The following is a 21,798-nucleotide window of genomic DNA, read 5'->3' as shown; positions in this document are numbered from 1 at the left end:
GGGGCAGGCATTACCCTGATAGCAAAATCAGGCAAGGACACAACAAAAAAACAAAGCTTATAGGCCAGTATCCCTGATGAATATAAATGCAAAAATCTTCAACAAAAGAGATCACTAACGATGGTCAAGAAGGATTCATAGCAGACATGCAAGAATGATTCAACATAAAGCAAATTAATAAATGTGATACATCACTTTAACAGAATGAAGGACAAAAACCACATTGATCATTTCAATAGATACAGAAAAACATTTGACACAATTCGTTATTTTTCTCTGATAAAAGCTCAATGAATTAGGTATAAAAGGAATGTACTTCAGTACAATAAAGGCCATATATGACAAGTCCCCAACAGCTAATACACTGAATAGACAAAAGTTGAATGCTTTTCCTCTAAGAACCAGAACAAGACAAGGATGCCCGCTTTCTCACTTCTATTCAACATAGTACTGGCAATCCTAGCTAGAGCAGTTAGGTAAGAAAAAAATAAGGCATCTAAATTGTATAGAAGTTAAACGGTCCTTGTTTGCAGATGATATGACCTTATATATATAGAAAAACCTAAAGACTTTACTAAAAAAAACTGTTATAATAAATTTAGTAAGTTTGCAGGATGTAAAATCAACATACAAAAATCAGTAGCATTTCTATACACAGAAAGCACACTATTTGAAAAAGACATCAAGAAAACAATTCCACTTACAATGACTACAAAAACAACCCATAAAATAAAATACTTAGGAATAAATTTAACCAAGGAGGTGAAAGATCTGTACACTCAAACTATAAAACCTTGATGAAAGAAATTAGAGAAGATGCAAAAAATGGAAAGATATTCTGTGTTTATGGATTGGAGGAATAGTTAAAATGTCCATACCTACCCAAAGCAATCTACATATTCAATGCAGTCTCTAACAATATATCAATGATGTTCTTCCCAGAAATAGAAAAAAAAATCCTAAAATTTGTATGGAACCACAGAAAATCCTGGATAGAGAAAACAATGTTGAGCAAAAAGAATAAAGCTGAAGTCATCACAATACGTCACTTCAAAATATATTACAAAGCTATAGCAATCGAAACAGCATGGTAGTGGCATAAAAACAGACACATTAACTAATGGAACAGAATATAGAGGCCAGAAATAAAGCCACACATCTATGGTCAATTGCTTTTTTTACAAAAGGTGCCAAGAACACACAATGGAGAAAGGACAGTCTGTTCAACAGTGTTGGCAAAAACTAATGTCCACACGCAGAAAAATGAAATTAGAACCTTATCTCTCACCATATAGAAAAGTCAAGTCAAAATGGATTAAAGGCTTAAATTTAAGACCCAAAACTATGAAACTTCTAGAAGAAAGCATAGGGAAAAGTCTCCATGACATAAGTCTGGGCAAGATCTTATCTTTTTGGTTAAGATCTGAAACACATAGGCAACAAAAGTGAAAATAGACAAATGGGATAACATCAAGCTTAAAAGCTTCTGCATAGCAAAGGAAACAATCAAGTGAAGAGACAACCCACAGAATGGGAGAAAATATTTGCAAACTATTTATTTAACAAGGGATTAATAACCAGAATATTTTATATAAGGAGCTCAAACAACTCAATAGGAAAGCAAAAACAAAAACAAAAACAAAAACAAATAATCCAATTAAAAAATGGGCAGAAGATCTGAACAGGCATTTCTCAAAAGAAGACATACAAATGGCCAACTGGTATATGAAAAAATGCTCCTTATCACTAATCATCAGATAAATGCAAATCAAAACAATGAGATATCTCACCCCAGTGAGAATGGCTTTTATCAAAAAAAAAAAAAAAAAAAAAAAGCCAGGAACAAAAGATACTGGTGAGAATGTGGAGAAAGGGGAACCCGTGTGCACTGTTGGCAGGAATGAATATTACTAGAGCCACTGTGAAAAACTGTTTGAAGATTCTTCAAAAAACTAAAAATAGAACTACTATATGATTCAGCAATTCTACTATTGGGTATAGATCCAACAGAAAGGAAATACATATATCAAAGAGATATCTGCACTTCTATGTTTATTGCAGCACTATTTACAATAGCCAAGATTTAGAATTGACCTAAGTGTCCGCGCAACAGATGAATGGATAAAGAAAATGGGGTACATATACACAATAGAATATTATTCAGCCATAAAACCCTCCACAAAATCCTTTTATTTGCAACAAACATGGATAGAACTGGAGGTCATTATGATGAGTGAAATAAGCCAAGCACAGAAAGGCAAATAATGCATGTTCTCACTCATATGTGGGAGTTCAGAAAGTGGATCTCAGAGACTGAGAAGTATTGGGGGGGTGGGCCATGGGGGAGCAAGGGGAGGTAAACATACACTTAGAAGAAACATACACTTAGAAGAAATAAGACCCGGTGTTCCATAGATCAGTAGGGTGACTACAGCTAACATTTATCAATAGTACATGTCAAAATAGCCAGAAGAGAACAATTTGAATGTTCCTAGCACAAAGAAAAGATAAATATTTAAGGGGATGAGTAACCCAGTTATGCTGATTTGATTACAGAAATGAATCAAATTATCACATATACCCTGAAAATATGTACAGCTATTATGCATCAAAAAGTTGAAGAAAATAAAAATTTTAATTTTTTTGTATACAATGTATATTGCATATCATATATTGATTCTGTTCATATATAAGTAAATATCCTTACTGGTTTGCCTCATTGGAGCATTCAGACAGCAAATAATGTGTAGTTCAACATTTTATTAAATATTTTCCATCTTAGTGGATATTTTGTAACAAGATAAATATGATGCAAACTAAAAAAAGTGCCAAGGGCGGGCGCGGTGGCTCACGGCTGTAATCCCAGCACTTTAGGAGGCTGAGGCAGGTGGATCACAAGGTCAGGAGATCAAGACCATCCTAGCCAATATGGTGAAACCCCGTCTCTACTAAAAATACAAAATATTAGCTTGGCGCCCTTGTAGTCCCAGCTACTCGGGAGGCTGAGGCAGGAGAATCGCTTGAACCTGGGAGGTGGAGGTTGCAGTGAGCCGAGATCGCGCCACTGCACTCCAGCCTGGCGACAGAGCGAGACTCCGTCTCAAAAAATACATAAATAAATAAATAAAGTGCCATACTGAATCTACCAAAAATAAATCAAAATGAGTAAGAGAGGCTGCCAGACCATCTTCTTCATCAGAGGTAATGGTCAGAGGCTTCTGAACGTTGGTATGGAAATGAGCCTGCAGGCAGGATTTGTATGCAGGGAAGAGGAGGTTTGTAAACTAGGTGAATTATACCTTCAGAGTGCATATAATGTATATTATACTTTTCCTCTACGTATGCGTACCAGCCGTATTACCTATGTATCATCTGATCCACCAAGTCTGGACTGAAGAAGTCCTTGTAGGACCACACTACACATGGCGAGCCGGTACTCGGAAGGGATTATTCCGAAGAGGATTTGTAGACACTACCCGCTGTGTATGACCTAGGCCCTTTACACGGGCACCACTGGAGCTAGGAAGCCAGCAGAAAGCTCCTCCCCCTGGCCTGGGAGCGGGCTGTCCGTAGGACCCAGAGCACCTCCCATGGGAGAAACGCCCGGCTTTGCTTCTGGCCCCGCCCCGCCTCCCTCCAGGCCCCGCCCCGCCTCCCCGGCCCCGCCCCAACCCCGCGGCCCCGCCCCTCCTCCCCGGCTCCGCCCCGCCTCCCCGGGCCCGCCGCTCCTCGCGGCCTCCGCGTCTTCCTTCCGGGTCGCGCTAGGCCGGGCTTGCGGCGGTTGTGCCGCATCTAGAGAGTCGGGGAGCCGCCCCCGCACCCAGGCCTTCTCGCGCTGCCTGGTCGCTGGTGAAGCCCGCGGCGCGCGCCTCTCCCGGACCCTGCAGGGTACGGCCCTTCCTTTACTTCTCCCTCCCGTGGGTCTCTGTCTTCTTCCTTTGGCGCCGGGGCGGGGCCGGGGCCGAGCCAGCGCGCAGCTCCGCGCTTTGGGGAGTCTGGACGCCTGGCAGAGGCCCCCGCTGCCCGCCCCTCCCCGCCCGCGGCCCCGCGCCCCCGCGCCTCCGCTTCACGCTTGCGGGGCTTGCTGGGGCCCTTGAGAACTGCTGACGTGCCTCGGGCTCTTTCTACGCTACAGTCTGCCTGCAGGCTGTGAGGCGTCGTTCGGACGTGTGCGCGGCTCAGGGTTGTTTACACCGCGGGGGACTGCGGGTCGCCCCACACCCGCGCTCAGTGCTGCGCCGGCAGCCACGCGTCGGCCACATGCCCGCCTGTGCTTGTGATTCCTGTGCCTGCTGCCTTGATTTCCCTCTGACATCCGATGGTTTTTGCCTAACCAGGCCTGTTTTCTTTCTTCAGGACTGCTACAGGGTGCCCAGCTACAACCTTGTTTCTGTGTTTAGGTTTAGGGGTGCCCCTAGAGTGTGATGATGACCATCTACTTGGCCTCCTTGTCGACATATTTATAACGGGTGGTTTTGGATTTCCTTGATTTCCCAGTAATCATTGCCACAAACCTTCGAGATGCATTCACAGATTGAAATACAGTATACAAATAACTATTATAGAAGGTGAAGATGGTATAAGCCTGTGGTCAGGTAGTTGCGTTGGCAGGATGCCCGTCTGGCTTTGTGCTCCGGAGGGCACATTACCACCAGGTGCAGGGATCTCTGCTTGCTTTGGTCTGTTCACAGACACAAGCTGCCTTTTCTGGTTCTTGCGTGCACTCCTTGGTTTCTTAAGTTCAGCTATAGGTATATATTTTTTTCTTTCAGGCTCACTTCCTGCCTCCATTATCCTGTACCGCATATTGTATCTGTTGGTTGAGTAGAGAGAGATTCATCCAGAGTCATCAGCGCTCCAATAGTCCTTTATCAGATTAAGGACTTGAGGGAAATGTGCATTATGCTTTAGTAGGCACTCTAAAAGTTCCTTGAATTGGATTCTTCTTTCCATACTTATGTTCTGAGTACTAACTTTGTTTTAAACTTCTGCGCCAAAAGTTGGCTTTTCTGAACTCTGCATTTTCAAACTCTTCCCTTCTGTTATTTGAAAATCAGATAAGTCAACTCATTGTAAGATGGATAATTTCTTTACTCACGCCGTGATGAAATAATGCGATTATAGTACTCTGTACAATGGTACATATGGTACTTGCACATATGGTCAGTTAACAAAAACTGCCCCTTCTTTCTTTACTGTGTTAGTCTCATCCTCTTAATGTTGCTGCGGTTAACATTCTCGATCTTAACTTCGCGGATCTAACACAGTGTCCTTTAAAAAAGGCCTTTATCTACATGAATTGTATATAAATATCCACCTCCGTTTTCTTCTAGTATTGTTAATGATCTTATTTATATTTAATGTGAGATAAGAAGGCTCTAACTTTATAATTTTGTTAGTGACTCCATCATCATTTGTTGGAATTCTATTTTTCCCTGCTGATCAGTCCTATAAATACCATAGGCCCTAAATTCCCGTGTATTCTTGGGACTTTCTGAACGGTCTAGTATTCTTTGGCTCCCTGTGGTGATCCTGGCTTCTGTGATGCTCTTATTGCTCTAGGTTTATAATGTGTTTTAATATCTAGGGATTTGAACGATGCCTGGCATATTGTAGACATCACTAAATATTTTTGAAATGAACACATTTAGTGGGGGCAAGTTGATTCCCTTTCTTTACCTCTTGCCTCCCTCCCCCCTTTAAAATTTTCCTGCCAGTTATTGAGATTCATTTATTTTAGCTTGCTTTTTCCATGGTCAGTTGAATCATTAACTGTTAGTAAATAAATCCCTTCTGTTGCTCATTCAGAACTTGCGACTAGAGTTGCTCCTTACAGTTACATAGAGAAGCAGCCTGATTAAAAATCTGCATGCCTTTTGACTTTGCACCGTGTCATAGTAACTGTAGTGTGTCTCTCCCCATCACCTGTGATTTAGGATGTTCTGTACCTGGTTTCTAAGAGAAAAATGGTTATCTAAGAGATAAATGGCTGTAGAAGTGTTCCCTGGGATATGAGGAAGATATCCTCATATCCATTTGTATTTTACCATCACAACTGGATATCTAAAATATAATAAATTTTACACTGGACACTTAAAACTTTATTAGCCCATGAAATAAATGTATGCATTCTTTAAAAAAGATCAAGCAATACAGAAATCCTTAAAGGAGGAAGTGAAAGTGCTGTGTGCCCACCTACCCAGTAACCTTGTTCCATAAAGATGATCACTGCTTGCAGATTTTAAAAATAAATATATTTAAGTCTACTTTTGTTTCATAAATGGCAGTGTACCATCTATAATTTTCTATAGCTTCCACTTAATAATAATTGATAAACATCCTTCTGTGTCAGTGCATATAATAGTATCTTGTCTTTTTTGTAAGTCTTTTGGTATTTCATTGTAGGAATAACCCAAAAGTTATTTAGCCAGTCCCCTGTTGGCATTATTCCAAATTTATTACAAACAGAACTGCAAGGATCATTTTTGTGTTTATTCTGTATACTGTCATGTTTGCATGTTAGTTCATTTCCTAAGATATGGAATTGCTAGGTCAGAGGCTACACATAAGTGTTAAATTATGAGAGATTCTGCCAAAGTGCTCCTCAAAAGTTGTTGGTAAGAGTAAATTTATACAATTTGTTAAAATATTGCTTTTGCCATATCACATTGCCAAGAATTGTCAAGGATCTGAGATCATACCCTACTTGCAAGCTAACAGTTTCATGGAAACTGGCAGAAAATATGAGACTCCTGACTCAGAGACAAAGCACAACAGGAACGGTAGCCAGAGGATCATCTTATGCTGATTTGCTGGAACCCTGATTTCCACAGGGTGATGTGATAAGAGCCCAGTGACACTAGCAGATGAAGTAGGTTATGTTACAGGAGAGGAGTCCTTAGTTTAGGGAACCTGAATCTTTCATAGTGGGCTGCAAATAAAGCTGTCTGATCTTTGCCAGAGAGGGAGACATTATCTTTATTTTCCCACATGGTAAACAAACCTGCCCTCTGTACCAGAGGGAGACATCTCTTTATCTGCCAAGGCTATTTGCTATATAAACACCACTGAAAAGATAAAAAATAAAGGCCGTCAGTGCCTCTACTTATATGATATGCAGAAACTTGAGAGGCCTGCTAAGATGAAATGATTATTTTTTATATTTAGTAATTTTATGGATGAAAAATGCTATTTTATTGTTTTAGTATTGCATTTCTTTGCTTATTGATGAGGTTGACTATCTGTATGTTTGTTGGTCATTTGTATTCGTTTTTACTTGCATGATCATATCCCTTGCTTAGGTTTCTGTTGAAATGTTCCTCTTTTCTAATTGATTTGTAATAGCTCTTTACATATTGTGGCTATTAATGATTTGGTTCACCATTTGCTAGTATTTTCTCATAGTCTATTCTTTAGTGTTTCTTGGGGCTTTTGCTTTATAAAAATCTTTAATATTTATGTTGCCAGTTCTGCTGTTGTTTTCCTTTACGGCCTCTGGGTTTCCACCGGAAGATTATTAAAATACTCTTTGTACACATTCTGTTATCATAGATATAGATTTTTAAAAATGGTTGCTATGGCATACTATTACAAATTTATTTTTCCAAATTGCTGGACATTTTCCTAAAACATTTATTTTGATAAACTGTCCTTTCCCTGTTATTTGATTTGACACATTTGTTGTAAGATACTATATCCTTAATTTGTTGTTTTTCTCAAAGCCAACAAATTAGTAAGCAAAGTATGTTAGATGTTTACTGTGATTATGATTTTGGTTGAATTCAGCCTTAAAGATAATATGTGTAATTGTTCTTAGTGGATTTTATCTTAAAGAATATGAAGTATCTTTTTTGCCCTGTTTAGTGATTTTTTGGCTGGGAGTCTACATTGTCTTATATGACTTTTGCCTCTCTGTCAGTTTTGTGTGTACCTGATAGGTCTTTTTTGTCCATATGTTTATTATGTTTATTTTCAGTCATTTTACACCATTTTGCTTTACTTGCCTTTCATAAACATCAAACATTCATGTAACTGAGCTGAACTTTTATTTCTCCCTGAAATCTTCCCCCTTGCCAATTTGGAAGTTTGTCTTCTTTTTTTTTTTTTTTTTTTTTGAGACAGAGTCTTGCTCTGTCACCCATGCTGGAGTGCAGTGGTGTAATGTGTAATTTTGGCTCACTGCAACCTCCATCTCCTGGACTTAAGTGATCCTCCTGCCTCAGCCTCTCAAGTAGCCTGGACTGCAGGTGCATGCCACAATACCTGGCTAATTTTTGTGTTTTTTGTAGAGATGGGGCTTCACCATGTTGCCCAGGCTGGTCTCAAACTCCTGGGCTCAAGTGATCCACCCGCCTTGGCCTCCCAACGTGCTGGGGTTACAGGTGTGAGCCACTGTGCCCGGCCTGGAATTTTGTCCTTTTTTTTTTTGTTTTACATTTTATAAAACTTTTAAAAAAGATCATTGTAGATTCATATACAGTTGTAAGAAATAATACAGAGATCTAGATCCTGTGTACATTCACCCAGTTTCCACCTATGGTAACACCTTGCATAACTACAGTACAATATTATACTCAGGAAATTGACATTGATACAATCTATAGACCTTATTCAGATTTCACCAGTTTTACTTGTACCCATCCCTGTGCCTGTTTAGTTGTAAGTAATTTTATGTAGATTCCTGTGAACACTACCACAGTCAGAATATACAACAGTTCCATCACAAGGTTACCTTGTACAAAATTGGGTTTATCTCTTAATAGGACAATTTAATCTAGTCATATTAACTATTTTTTCCCCTCTCCTGCAAGTTTGGAAATTCTGAAACCATCTATAACTGACTCTTTTTTGCCCTCATTCTTCCCATTAATAAGTTGAGACCTGGATCTCTTGCCTTCTTTACATTCTTGGTTTTATTGATTTGATTTCTTTTCTATAGTTGTAATATTCTGTTCCCACATTGCTATAAAGAAATACCTGAGACTGGGTAATTTATAAAGTAAAGAGGTTTAATTGGCTCACAGTTCCACAGGCTGTACAGGAAGCATGGTGCTGTCATCTGCTAGGCTTCTGCGAGGCCTCAGGAAATTTACAATCATTGTGGCAGGCAAAGCAGGAGCAAGGGTCTTACATGGCAGGAGCAGAAGGAAGAGAGTGGGGGATGCGCTATATGCTTTGAAACAAAAAGATCTCTTCAGAACTCATATGAGAACACCACTAGGGGCATAGTGCTAAACCATGAGAAACCACCCCCATGATCCAATCACCTTCCAGGCCCCACCTCCAGCACTGGGGATTACATTTCACTGTTAGATTTTGATGCAGACACAGATGCAAACCATATCAGTAGTTCTTCTGTTTGTTTGTTTTTTTCTAACCATTTTTTAAAATTTTGCTAGTATCGTATCACTTAGATTTAACTATAAGGTCACTGTTACTTGAATAGTATGTCTTCCCTGTTTTTGAAGTATTTAATTCTGTTGTTTTTTTTTTTAACTGGCATACATTTTTAAGTAATAGTTTCAGGAAGAGTTATGGGAAGTATACTTGCATATCTAGAATATTTTTTATTTAATTTTGTTTTTTCTATGTGAATAAGAGTTTGAGCCATTTTTTTTTTCCTTTAGAATTTCCTTGAACTTAAATTAGCTTCAGTCTTTATCTTATATAGATGTTAGGTTTCTTGTATATGTGCTCTAGGTCATTTATTTGTCTCTTAATTTTCAATTTATTTCAGTCACCACCTCTTCTAAGAATTTTTTTAAGTTAGTTTGTGCTTATTTCATGGATCCTATAACCTATTAATTAACACTAAACAATGATTTTTAAAAAAAACTATTGTCCTAATTTTGGCTTTAACTTTTCCTGAATGCCATTTGCTGTAATTGCTTAACTTGTTTCCCTGTCTTTAAAATGGTTAATTCTATTCAGACATATAAATGCAGATCTATGTTGACCATCTTGGTCCTGGTCTGAAGTATTTCATGTCATGAAGGTCACTATTCTGTTTTCCAGACAGGTAGTTTCCTAAGGCAAGATGAGTGGTTGGGGCTGTGTGAGCAGGCTTTGCCCTGGGCAGAACAAGTGGGCAGAACATGCCAACTAGTAGATATCTTTAAAGAGAACAGACAAGTAAGCTAGCGTGTGCATAACCAAATCAATACTAGAGTATCGGATTTACAGCTTGACTTGTTTTGACTGAAAACAAAAGCACACAGAACAGTTACATCATCCTAAAAATTCCTTGTGTGGCCCCTTTGTGGTTACTTTAGTCAATTTCTCTTTCTTCCCTTAACCCTGGGCAATCACTGATTTATCTGCCTTTCCTATTTGCCTTTTCCAAAGTATCACATAAATGAAATCATACAATATGTAGTTTTTGCATCAGACCTCTGTCACTTAACAAAATGCATTTTAAGATTCATCTATATTATTGCCTGGATTGGTGGTTCTTTCTTTTTTTTTTTCCTGAGTAGTAACTCATTGTATGGATGTAACACTGTACATGCATCTGTCAAGGACATCTTAGATGTTTCCAAGTTGCAACAATTATGAATAAATCTGCTATAAACATTTGTATACAGGTTTTTGGTTGGATGTAGGTTTTCAGTACACTTGAGTAAATACCTCGGAATGGGATTGCTGGATGGTTTGGTAAGGGCGGATGGACCTTTATAATAAACCGTGAAACTGTTTTTCAAAGTGGCTATATGATTTTGCATTCCCACTAGAAATGTTTGCAGAATCTAATTTGGTATCTTAAAATTTGATTAATTTGTAGTTAACTCTTCCCAGGTCTTCCCTTAAGAGCAAATACTTCCCAGGTCTAAGATGAAATACTTTCTCAGGGTTTACTCTTTTGAAACTGTACTTGATCTTGCTCTTCGGTAATATGTTTGCTAGGACATGTACAAGTATCCCATAAGAGAAAAAAAGATATTTTCAAGTAGATGAAAAGGCAAGCACAGACTGGGAGAAAACATTTGCAAAAACATCTGTCTAACAAAGAAATTGTATCTAGTGTGTGTAAAGAACTCTTACAACTCCATAGTAAGGAAACAACAACAAAAAAAAGATTAGAAAATAGACACTGCACTAAAGAAGATATAAATGGCAAATAAGCACGTGAAAAGATGTTCCATGTCATTAATCAATTAAGAAATTCAAATTAAAACCACAGGGTATCACCACCCACCCACTAGAATGGATGAAGATTGACAATATTAACTATTGATGAGGATGTGGAGCAACTGGAACTCTCATATGTTGATGTCAGAATGTAAAATGCTACAGCCACTTTGGAAATGGCTTGATACTAGAAACAAGCCAAATGTTTAGCAACAACTGAATTGATATACCAATGTAGCTGACCCTTGAACAACATGGGTTTGGACTGTGAAGATATGCTTATATGCAGTTTTTTTCAATAAATATAGAAAAATTTTGGAGATTTGCAACAATTTGAAAAACTTGCAAATTGTGTAGCCTAGAAATATCAAAAAAAGGTATTTCACAAATAAATAAAATATATGTAGATACTAGTCTATTTTATAATTTACTGCCATGAATAGCACACATATATATTATAAAAAATTAAACTTTTTCAAAAGGTAGTCACACACTTACAGAATGTACATGCTTCCATTTGCAGTTCAGAGAAATGTAAACAAATGTAAATTCAGTATTAAATCATAACTGCATAAAATTAGCTGTGGTACATACTGTACTACTGTAATAATTTGATGATCACCTCCAGTTACTATTGCAGTGAGCTTAAATATTGCAGGTATCAGCTTCCAATGCTGTGTGAAGCTAATCATCGACACATGAGCAGTTTGTCTCTAGTAAATTGTGTATTACAGTAAGAAGTGATTTCTTGTGATTCTCACGTATTTTTCATCATGCTTAGTGTAATACCATAAACTTTGAATAACACCATGGGACCCTTAGAAAGTGCCACTGGTAATGTCGGAAGTGATTCCAAGTAGCAGCGAGAAGTCATGACATTACAAGCAAAAATGGAATTGCTTGTTATGTACCATAGATTACAGTCTGCAGCTATGGTTACCTGTCATTTCAAGATAAACGAATCCAGCAAAAGGACCACTGTGAAAAAAGAAAAGAGAATTTATGTAGCTGTTGCTACAACTATACCAGCAGGTGCAAAACCTTGCACTTTTTGTGAAATACCACTTTATCTCATATTGAAAATGCAGTTCTTATGTGGGTGCAGGATTGCTATAAGAAAGACATGCTTGTAGACTCTAATATGATTTGAGAGAAAGTGAAGTTAATGTATGACAGCTTAAAGCAAAAAGAAGGTGAAGGATAGAAAGCTAGAGAATTTAATGCCAGCAAAGGATGGTTTGATAATTGTAGAAAGAAGTTTGGCTTTATGTATGTTAAGATAACAGGAAAGCAGCTGCTACTGTTCAAGAGGCAGCAGATGATTTCCCAGATACCATTAAAATAATTGAGGAGAAAGGATATCTGCTTAAATGGGATTCTTTCTCTCTCTCATTTCATTTCGTTTCGTTTCATTTCATCTCCCTTCCTCCCTCCCTCCTGTCTTGTCTTTTCCTTTCTCTTCTCTTTTTTTTTTTTTTTTTTTTTTTTTTTGAGACAAGGTCTTGCTCTGTCACCCAGGCTGAAGTGCAATGGCATGATCACAGCTTACTGTAGCCCCAGCCTCCTGAGGTGGAAACAGTCCTCCCAAATAGCTAGGATTACAGGTGCACACCACCACACTTAGCTAATTTTTTATTTTTTATTTTTGTAGAGGCAGGGTCTCCCTATGTTTCTTAGGCTGGTCTTAAACTCCTGGTCTCCAGTGATCCTTCTGCCTTGGCCTCCCAAAGTACTGGGATTACAGGCATGAGCCGCTGTGCCCAGCCTCAGTCAGGTTTTGAATGCAGACAAAGTGCCCTATTCTGGAAAAAAAAAATGCCACAAAAGACATTTATTATTAAAGAAGTAAAGCAAGCACCAGGATTTAAGGCAGGAAGGGATAGACTAACTCTGGTGTTTTGTGCAAATGTATCTGGGTTTATGATCAAGACTGCTTATTTATAAAGCTACTAACCCCCAGCCTTAAAGGGAAAAGGTAAATGCCAGTTATCAGTCTTTTCGTTATGTAACAGGAAGGCCTGGACAATCAGAGTTCTTTTTCTTGATTGATTTCATCAATGCTTTGTCCCTGAAGTCAGGAAGTATTAATACCTTGCTATAAGGGACTGCCTTTTAAAGTTCTTTTGGTATCAGACAATGTCCCTGGCCACCCAGAACTCCACGAGTTTAACACTGAAGGTGTCGAAGTATATTCCACATGTCCCCAAATGCAATGTCCCTAATTCAGCCTCCAGATCAGGGGGTTGTAAGGAACTTTAAGGCTTACTATACATGGTACTCTATGGAAAGAACTGTGAACTCTATGGATGAGAACCTCAACAGAGAGAACCTGTAAGTTTGGAAGGATTACACCATTGAATATGCCATTGTTACAGAAAAAACTGTGAAGGCCATCAAGACTCAAACAATAAGAAAACTAAAGAAAACTCTACCAATAGTGTACATGACTTCACAGGATATATGACAGAACCAATCAAGGAAATCATGAAAGAGATTGTAGATAGGGCAAAAAAAAAAAAAAAAAAGGGTGCAGGGGGAGGAGGATGAAGGGTTTCAAGATATGGATCTTAGAGAAATTCAAGAGCTAATAGACTCCACACCAAAGGAGTTAACAGAAAACAACTTGGTGGAGACGAGTGTTTCTGAATTAGTGCCAGATGACGAGGAAGAAGACATAAAAGAGGCAGTGCCAGAAAACAAATTGACATTAGACAATTTGGCAGAAAGTTCCAATTATTCTGGACAGTTTTGACTTCTTTTACAACATGGACCCTTCTATGACATGGACACTGAAACTAAAGCAAATGGTGGAAGAAGGATTGGTACTGTATAGAGATATTTTTGGAGAAATGAAATAGCAAAAAGTCAGGCAGAATTTATAGTATATTTCCACAAAATTGCACCGAGTGTGCCTGCCTCTCCTGCCTCTTTTTACACCTCCTCCATCACTTTCACCCTGTATCCTGAAATGGCAAGGACCACCCCTCCTCTTCCTCCTCCCTTCTCAGCCTACTCAACATGAAGATCAGATCGAAGACCTTTGTGGTGATTCACTTTCACTTAATGAGTAGTCAATATATTTTCTCTTCCTTATGATTTTGTTAACAGTACTTTTCTCTAGCTTACTTTATTATAAGCATAAATTATATAACTTACAAAATATGTTAATCAACTGTTTATGTTATTGGTAAGCCTTCTGGTCGACAGTAGCCTATTAGTAAAGTTTTGGGTGAGTCAAAAGTTATATTCAGATTTTTTTTTTTTTTTGAGACGAAGTCACCCAGGCTGGAGTGCAGTGGCACAATCTCGGCTCACTGCAACCTCTGCCTCCCAGGTTCAAGTGATTCTCCTGCCTCAGCCTCCTGAGTAGTTGGGATTATAGGTGTGTGCCACCACAACTGTTTAATTTTTGTATTTTTAGTAGAGACAGGGTTTTTCCCTATTGGCCAGGCTGGTCTCAAACTCCTGACCTCTGGTGATCCACCTGCCTCAGTTTCCCAAAATGCTGGGATTACAGGCATGAGCCACTATTCCAGCCTATATTCAGATTTTTTTACTGCATAGGGGGTCAGTGCCCCAATCCCATACATTGTTCAAGGGTCAACTGTATAATGGGATTTGATTCAGAATAAAAAGGAACTGAACTACTCTTAACACATAGCATCATGGGTAAATCTGGAAGATAGACTGAACAAAATAAGCTAGACACAAAATAATACAGTTGATCCTCAAACAACATGAAGGTTAGGGGTGCCAATCCCCCATGCAGTTGATCCAGCTATAATTTTTTACTCCCCATAAGCTTAACTACCACTGAATAGCCTATGGTTGACTGGAAGCCTTACTGATAACATATACAGTTGGTTAATATATGTTTTATATGTTATATGTATTGTATACTGTATTCTTACAATGAAATAGGCTAGAGAAAGAAAATATTAAGAAAATCATGAGGAAAAGAAAATATATTTACTCCTCATTAAGTGGAAATAGGTCATCATAAAGGTATTCATCCTCATTGTCGTCATGTTAAATAGACTAAGAGGGAGGAAGAGGATGGGTCAGTCTTGCTGTTTCAGAGATCGCAGAGACAGAAGAAAAGGCACATATAAGTGGACCCACACAGTTCAAACCTGTGTTAAGGGTTAGCCATACATACCATATTATTTCACTTTCATATAATTCTGGAATAAAGGACAATCTGGTTTGTAGTGACAGAAAGCAGATCAGTTTTTGCTTGGCATAGGTTGTGGATGGGTGATTGACCAGGGATCCTTTTAGGCTAGTGGTAATATTCTGTATCTTGATTTTGGTGGTGGTTATGTTGGTTTCTGTCATTGTCAAAACTCATCAAATTATATGCTTAAAGTGGGGTACATTTTATACTAAAGTTAATTTAACAGTATTACACCATTTTAATTAGTTGCTATTTTAGCTATAATGGCAAGCTATGACAGGTGTATTGTCCTTGGATTTTTGTTTGGCAGGGTGTAAATCCACTATATTTTTTTCTAGGTAAAATGTTCTCTATGTTAATGTACAAAAATATATGGCTAGTATTTGGCTAAAGTAAATTCACATAATTAGTATGACTTTAACAAACAAAATATCATTTTTTCTTTCTTCAGTAAGTTCCTTAAATTTATCCTCAGCCAGATATCTCCAATTTTTAATATTTTAGTTAAATATCATTGCATATCTGCTAAAGATTTAGGGTTATTCCAGAGTCACAGTTCTTCTCATTCAGATGCCTTATTCTTTTTTTTTTTTTGAGACGGAGTCTCGCTCTGTCGCCCAGGCCAGACTGCGGACTGCAGTGGCGCAATCTCGGCTCACTGCAAGCTCCGCTTCCCGGGTTCACGCCATTCTCCTGCCTCAGCCTCCCGAGTAGCTGGGACTACAGGCGCCCGCCACCGCGCCCGGCTAATTTTTTGTATTTTTAGTAGAGACGGGGTTTCACCTTGTTAGCCAGGATGGTCTCGATCTCCTGACCTCATGATCCACCCGCCTCGGCCTCCCAAAGTGCTGGGATTACAGGCGTGAGCCACCGCGCCCGGCCCAGATGGCTTATTCTTACCCATCGTTAAACACTGAAGAAAAAGGTAATATATAGGTAATATAACAGTGGAATCTATTTCTAAGTTATGTTGTATCATCGTACCTGTGTAATTAGAAACATATCCTTTCTTTTCACTTTGTGAGATAGCATGTTGGGCAGGAAGAGGGTTTCCAGATCCATTATATCAGAAAAAAAAAAAACAAAAAACCATTCCACTCATCCTATAGCTCTACTTAAAAAAAAAAAAAAGATTCCTTCAGTTCCTTTTTCTGCTTTTCTTGCTACTAAAGATTGATTATGAAATATTTCAGAAGTTTAGATATGCTTGTTAAAGAAAGTCTAGGAAAGAAAGAACATATTCTGCAGAAGTAACCTTTCTCAATTCCTAGTTTAAATTGGTTCTAAATCTTATCTCTTGTTTTCTGATAAATTCATTCCTACTTGACTTCTTGGGTACCTCTTGCTTAGTTCCTGCCCTTTATTCATTAACTCACCAGAGGTTTTTGCACAGTCTAATGTATTCCAGACTTTTTGGATTATTTCCTTGCATTTTTGAGATCTACCTTGATTCCTCGAAGAGAGTGGTACTGTTTACCTCTGGTTTTTGAGATTTTTGCTCTGCTTTTAGATTTTTCTTCCTGGCCTGGTTCCCTTGCCTTCTCCATTTGCTTCATTCGCTTGGATTTTCAAGAAGCTTTGAAGCTGGATAGGAGTCTCCAGTCTTCCTCTTGATCCATATGTTTCAGGTAAGAACGCCACCTATTTTTTCTACTTTGGGGCCTTACTGATTAAAAAATACAGTCATAATAAAAATGTTTTAACTGGGGAAGAATTTACTTAGAGTAAGAGAGAGGCATATAAAGCCTTAAGATACCATCCTGAGTAGTTTCCATGCTGACACTGTTAGATTTTTTCAATGTTAGTTTTTTAAGATCTAGTACAATTAGAATATCAATAATTATGATGAAGAAAAAGCAGAGCTTTTTCTAATGCTTGGCCTTTGCTCCTTTATATCACATCTAATACGAGAACAATATTAAGCTGTCTTATTACCTTTGCTGTTATATTACGGCCTGTCTCTTCTGTCTCTCTCTCTCTTTTTTTTTTTTGAGACGGAGTCTCACTCTGTTGCTCAGGTTGGAGTGCAGTGGTGCGATCTTGGCTCACTGCAACCTCCGCCTCCCGGGTTCAAGCCATTCTCCGCCTCTTCTCTCTTAACTTGTAGGTTATCTCTTTAAGAAATTCTTTTTCAGCCATAGTTTTTCCAGTTCTCCATAATCAACGTACTGTTTTAACACAGATTTGGAGTGCAAAAACATCATTGTATTTGAGGAAATGGCTTTCTTTTACCTCTCTAATCATCTCTTTCATGAATCTTTCTTTAATTTCAATCAGAGTTTCTTTGTGACCAGAGTCAAGACTCTTTTATGTATTCAGAAGCTGCTTTTGTACTAACAGAAGTTACTACTTTTTTCATTCTCTTTGAACAGTAAAATTTCAATATATGTACTATTCCTTCTTGGATGGCTTCAAAGAAGTTCATACATTTGATTCTTACCTATTGCGCTTCAATTTTTATTACCCGTTTCCTCTCTTTATCTCTGTATCAAGATATGGAACATTTCTTGTGTCATTTTTTGGTTTACATGTGCCTTAGGAAGAGTTGCTGGTTTCATCTCTGTGTTTATTTTAAACTTATTCATTTTAATTCTCTTATGCCATCTACTCTTCCAGTCTCCGTAAAACAACAGATGTTTATTGAGCATATATTGGCATGTGCTAGACTCTAAGGGTATGGTTATAATTAAGGCATGTTCTCCGAACTTGGGGAGTTCATAGTCTATTCAGGTAGAGAAATATTTCAGCATGTAAGAAATAGCAAATAATACGAACATATAAGAGCAGAGGAAAGGTGCATGGTAGATAAAGTATGAACCTGACCTTGAAGGATGAGTAAGAGAGTGCCAAGCATTGGAAGAGAGGGGGCATTCCAGAGCCATCCAGCCTCAGTTGAAGATTTCAGGATGCTGAGGCATGAAAGCAGGAGTGCTGCTGAGGGCATGGTGGAGGTTCTGGTGGGTCTACAGCAAGGGTAGTGGGTGTGGACATGAAAGGGAAGGGGAAGGCGGGCTCAAAGTTAGATAGAATGTTCTTGTATATCATGTTATCAAAAAGACAGCCTTCCTTTAATGGTACCTCTGTGTATATGAGAAGAATTAGGAAGAAGAAAACCTGGGAGGAGACTGAGAAGTTACCAGAGGCAAGAGGGGGCATAAGAGCACAAGTTGGTGTAAAAGCTAGAGGGGGCCAGCCAGGAAAGAGAGCTGATAGGAATTTCAGATGCTACATCAAATTCACATTATCATTCCCCTCTTTTCTCCATTGATGCTTTCTTTCATTCCCCTGTTTTGATTTCTAGATTCAACCAGAAAAGTCCTTCCTCAGAATAGTATGTCTTGATCAGTTTCAGCAGGATTCAGAAATAATGAGCATTTAAGGGTTGGCCTTTTTTCTTGATTCATTACCACATTGAGCATTCTAATTACATTTTGGTACTATGTAGCAAAGCTGTCTAAACTTGCTTTTTTTTTTTTTTTCTATGACTTCATTGACATGTCTCTGTGGGCTCTTTTGCAAGTAAATATTGTGTTACAATTTGCCTTGTATGTATGCCTGTGCCTTATTGCCTGTCCTTTTTGTGTTTTTCCATGTTTTTTCACTGTAGTATAACTTGAGAATAATCCTCTTTTGAGTTTTAAACTTGTTTTCAGGTTCTTTCATCTCACTGTGAACCTAGCCTTTACGCTGTCCTGGCTCTGGTTCATTCTGATTGCTGCCTTTGTTATTTTATTAACAGTCCTTTTCCTTCCTCTTTTTCCCTTCGAAGTACAAGCCGACTTCTCGGCAGCTCCTGCCATCCTGCTTCTCTCCGCCTCATCGATTCCCCATCTCACTTCAAATCTCAGTAGGAAACATATGTTCTCCCTTGTCTATACCTCTTAATTTCTCTTTTCCACTATTACTGCTTTCTCTGTAATTGTATTATTTAACTTCGTTAAGCATTTTATAATATGGAAGATGTGGTTTAAACCTAAGTTGTATTATAATAAAATCATGTTGTATAAAAGCAAGTTGTTTCCTAAGGAGTATGAAAGTCTCATGATACAAGTTAAAATGGCTGTTGTTTTGGTATTCCTTGATTGTGCTAGTATAAATGTTCAGTGTAGAGAATTTCTCACTTCATAGTCATTGCTTATCAGTGATTGGATTAAGCAACAAATGAAATGAAGATCCCCCTAATTCTGACTTATTCTAAATGGAAAATAATATTTTTATATGTTGTGAGTCCTTAAAGTAGCTTTTTGAATGAACAAAAAAAGAAAATGTCTCCCAGAAGATCCATTTTATAATCACTCTTTTGGACAAATTAAGTGTTCCTGACTAATATTTATTTATTTGCACCAGGTGGGAAAAATAATTTTATCTTTGAATCCCATTCTCCTTATAAAATAGAGTTATTGTATCTTTTACACTTGGTTCATTGCCCATAGGGATATTCATTGGTTACCACAAATTGCCTCCATGCCTTGGCAAAAGTCCAGACAGCGCCTGGACAATTTGGACTTCTGCATTGGTCGTAGCTCTCCACATGAGTCCTGAGACAATGGCTCCATTCCCTTTTTCAGCTTCATTTCCCAGGGAAAAGTAGAGAGAGCTATCCTTTCTTCTCCATATGTTCTTCCCCACCCCTAAAACACTTTTATGTGTCATCTTAGCAGATTGGAAAGGAGTTTAGAATCAATGAAGGACGTTAGCAATGGGTTTGTACATTTCTCTTTTTTATTTCTATGCCTTGCTTATTTTCAAAAACAGGTTTTAACTTCTATAACATTTTCCAAATAGCACTGCTGGAAAAAGAATAAATATATTTGCTTTTTTGGTATATCAGACTCTGCATTTCCTTCCTTTAAAAATTTCTTTTGCCATTTTTAACTTTATTTCCTGAAAAAATTAGCATTAAATATTATTTTTATCCATAGTTGAAAAAAACTAAAGCATCCATTTTACATTTCTATATTGAAGAAGTTTGAACATATAACACATATATTTACAGTTTATAACTCACTTTTACATATGTTGCCTCAATGCAAAATTTTGCTTAACTTTAACACAGCTTAAACATAATATTGCCCATATGACAGTCTTGCTTTTGATATTATCTTATAATCTACAATGGTAAAAGCTGGGAAACAGTTTCAAAGTTTGTAGCTTGGTATGTCAAACAGAATTTGACTTTCACAATTTGTCTAAAATCTTTTTGCCAAAAATGCACAACACAGTTTTATAAAGAAAGGGGGAGGAGCTTAGTTGAAGCAATTTATAGACCGTGGAGTGAGAAGTGATGTCCAGAGATTAAGCAGTCAACTTATTCATCCACTGTGGCAGATGGTTTTCTGTCCTTCCCTTGATGGTTTCCAGGAATAACACATCCATAGTCTTCTAAATTAGCTGATTTGTCAATTGATTTGAATACATGTTATAGGTTGTTCTTTATTTCCTAAATTTTATTTTTGCAGTTTAACTTGTTAATTCTTTTTCTTTTTGAAAAGAGAATAGTCAACTTCTTTGGAAAATGGTTCTTAATTTATCTGCAGCCCTATTTTGAAATAAAGTGTATATGGTAAAAGAAAGATTTGTACCATTTCAATTTTTTTTGTTAAGGATTGAGACTTGAATGGCAAAAAGTTGTCTGTCTGTTTTTGAGACGGGGTCTTGCTCTGTGGTCCAGGCTGGAGTACAGTGACACGATCATGACTCACTTCAGCCTTGAACTTCTGAGCTCAAGTTATCCTCCAGCCTCAGCCTTAAATATATATATTTTTTAATTTGACAAATTTATACTTGTGGTAGGTGAAATGTTTGAATAAAGAAGTAATATAACAGGTAGTTATTTTTCCCCCAATTATAACATGACATACTTCAGTACTTGCTATTATATGTCCTGAGGTGAATCTGGTTCATTGACTCATGAGCACATCCATTAAGTGTGTGTTACAGAAACACCTTATTTATTTATTTGTTTGTTTGAGACAGGGTCTGGCTCTGTCACCCAGGCTGGAGTGCAGTGGTGCAATCTCGGCTCACTGCAACTTCCGCCCCGGCGGGCTCAAGTGATTCTCCCACCTGGGCCTCCCAAAGTGCTGGGATTACAGGTGTGAGCCATCATGCCCAGCCTATTTATTTTAATATATGCTTTGTTGCCCTTCTTTGGAAAAAGTCTTATTCTGGTTATTCTGTTATTTCTTGTTCTTGTGCTGCAAATCCCTCCATTTGGTGAGTCCACTGACTATCTCTCATCATGGTTCATTTTCTATTCTGGTCTGTAACTTTTTACTGTGATGCATCATTAGTAAAGGTTTAGTCTGTTGTATGTTTTGGAAGCATTCCTGCAAAGAGTTTTCACATTTGCTCTTACCAGGTCCTAAAGTTTTACCAGTTCAGGACTACTTTTCTTTTTTCAGTTTTTGGCATGAGGATAGGGTGGGATTCTAAACCATGAAGGTTGTGTGAATTTAGGCCCACACTCTATGCATGGTTCATGCCTCATATGG

General features: G+C 38.0%; 1 protein-coding gene across 10 annotated transcripts in view, besides 5 other annotated features; it reads left to right on the top strand.

The window, feature by feature from the left end:
* Window positions 3,327-3,621: a silencer, noted in NCBI's record as "tiled region #5946; K562 Repressive DNase unmatched - State 1:Tss". NCBI's record gives its function as "represses a minimal TATA promoter and a strong SV40 promoter by Sharpr-MPRA in K562 cells {active_cell/tissue: K562}" and the evidence as "EXISTENCE:reporter gene assay evidence [ECO:0000049][PMID:27701403]".
* Window positions 3,327-3,865: a biological region, named in NCBI's record as "Sharpr-MPRA regulatory region 5946".
* Window positions 3,354-3,865: an enhancer, noted in NCBI's record as "H3K27ac hESC enhancer chr6:99395705-99396216 (GRCh37/hg19 assembly coordinates)". NCBI's record gives its function as "activates a minimal SCP1, AML or CMV promoter by ChIP-STARR-seq in primed H9 embryonic stem cells {active_cell/tissue: H9 hESC(primed)}" and the evidence as "EXISTENCE:reporter gene assay evidence [ECO:0000049][PMID:30033119]".
* Window positions 3,748-21,798, top strand: part of FBXL4 (F-box and leucine rich repeat protein 4) — a 79,412-nt gene continuing 61,361 nt past the window's right edge. For 5 of the 10 annotated variants that reach the window (XM_047418626.1, XM_017010726.2, XM_005266930.4 and 2 more), the window contains exons 1-2: window positions 3,748-3,888; window positions 16,815-16,932. The gene's annotated coding sequence lies outside the window, so the exon portion shown is untranslated. Of the gene's footprint in view, window positions 3,889-4,091; window positions 16,933-21,798 lie in introns of those variants that run through there. The other 5 variants (NR_103836.2, NR_103837.2, XM_017010727.3 and 2 more) reach the window with 2 other exon arrangements.
* Window positions 3,919-4,228: a silencer, noted in NCBI's record as "silent region_17413". NCBI's record gives its function as "represses an Ori minimal core promoter by ATAC-STARR-seq in GM12878 lymphoblastoid cells {active_cell/tissue: GM12878}" and the evidence as "EXISTENCE:reporter gene assay evidence [ECO:0000049][PMID:35858748]".
* Window positions 4,669-4,858: an enhancer, noted in NCBI's record as "active region_24852". NCBI's record gives its function as "activates an Ori minimal core promoter by ATAC-STARR-seq in GM12878 lymphoblastoid cells {active_cell/tissue: GM12878}" and the evidence as "EXISTENCE:reporter gene assay evidence [ECO:0000049][PMID:35858748]".

This window comes from Homo sapiens, chromosome 6 (assembly GCF_000001405.40).
Source record: "Homo sapiens chromosome 6, GRCh38.p14 Primary Assembly".
In the NCBI taxonomy this organism is placed as follows: Eukaryota; Metazoa; Chordata; class Mammalia; order Primates; family Hominidae; genus Homo; species Homo sapiens.
Note: the sequence above shows the minus strand (reverse complement) of the source record. Positions and strands in the feature narration are given on the sequence as shown.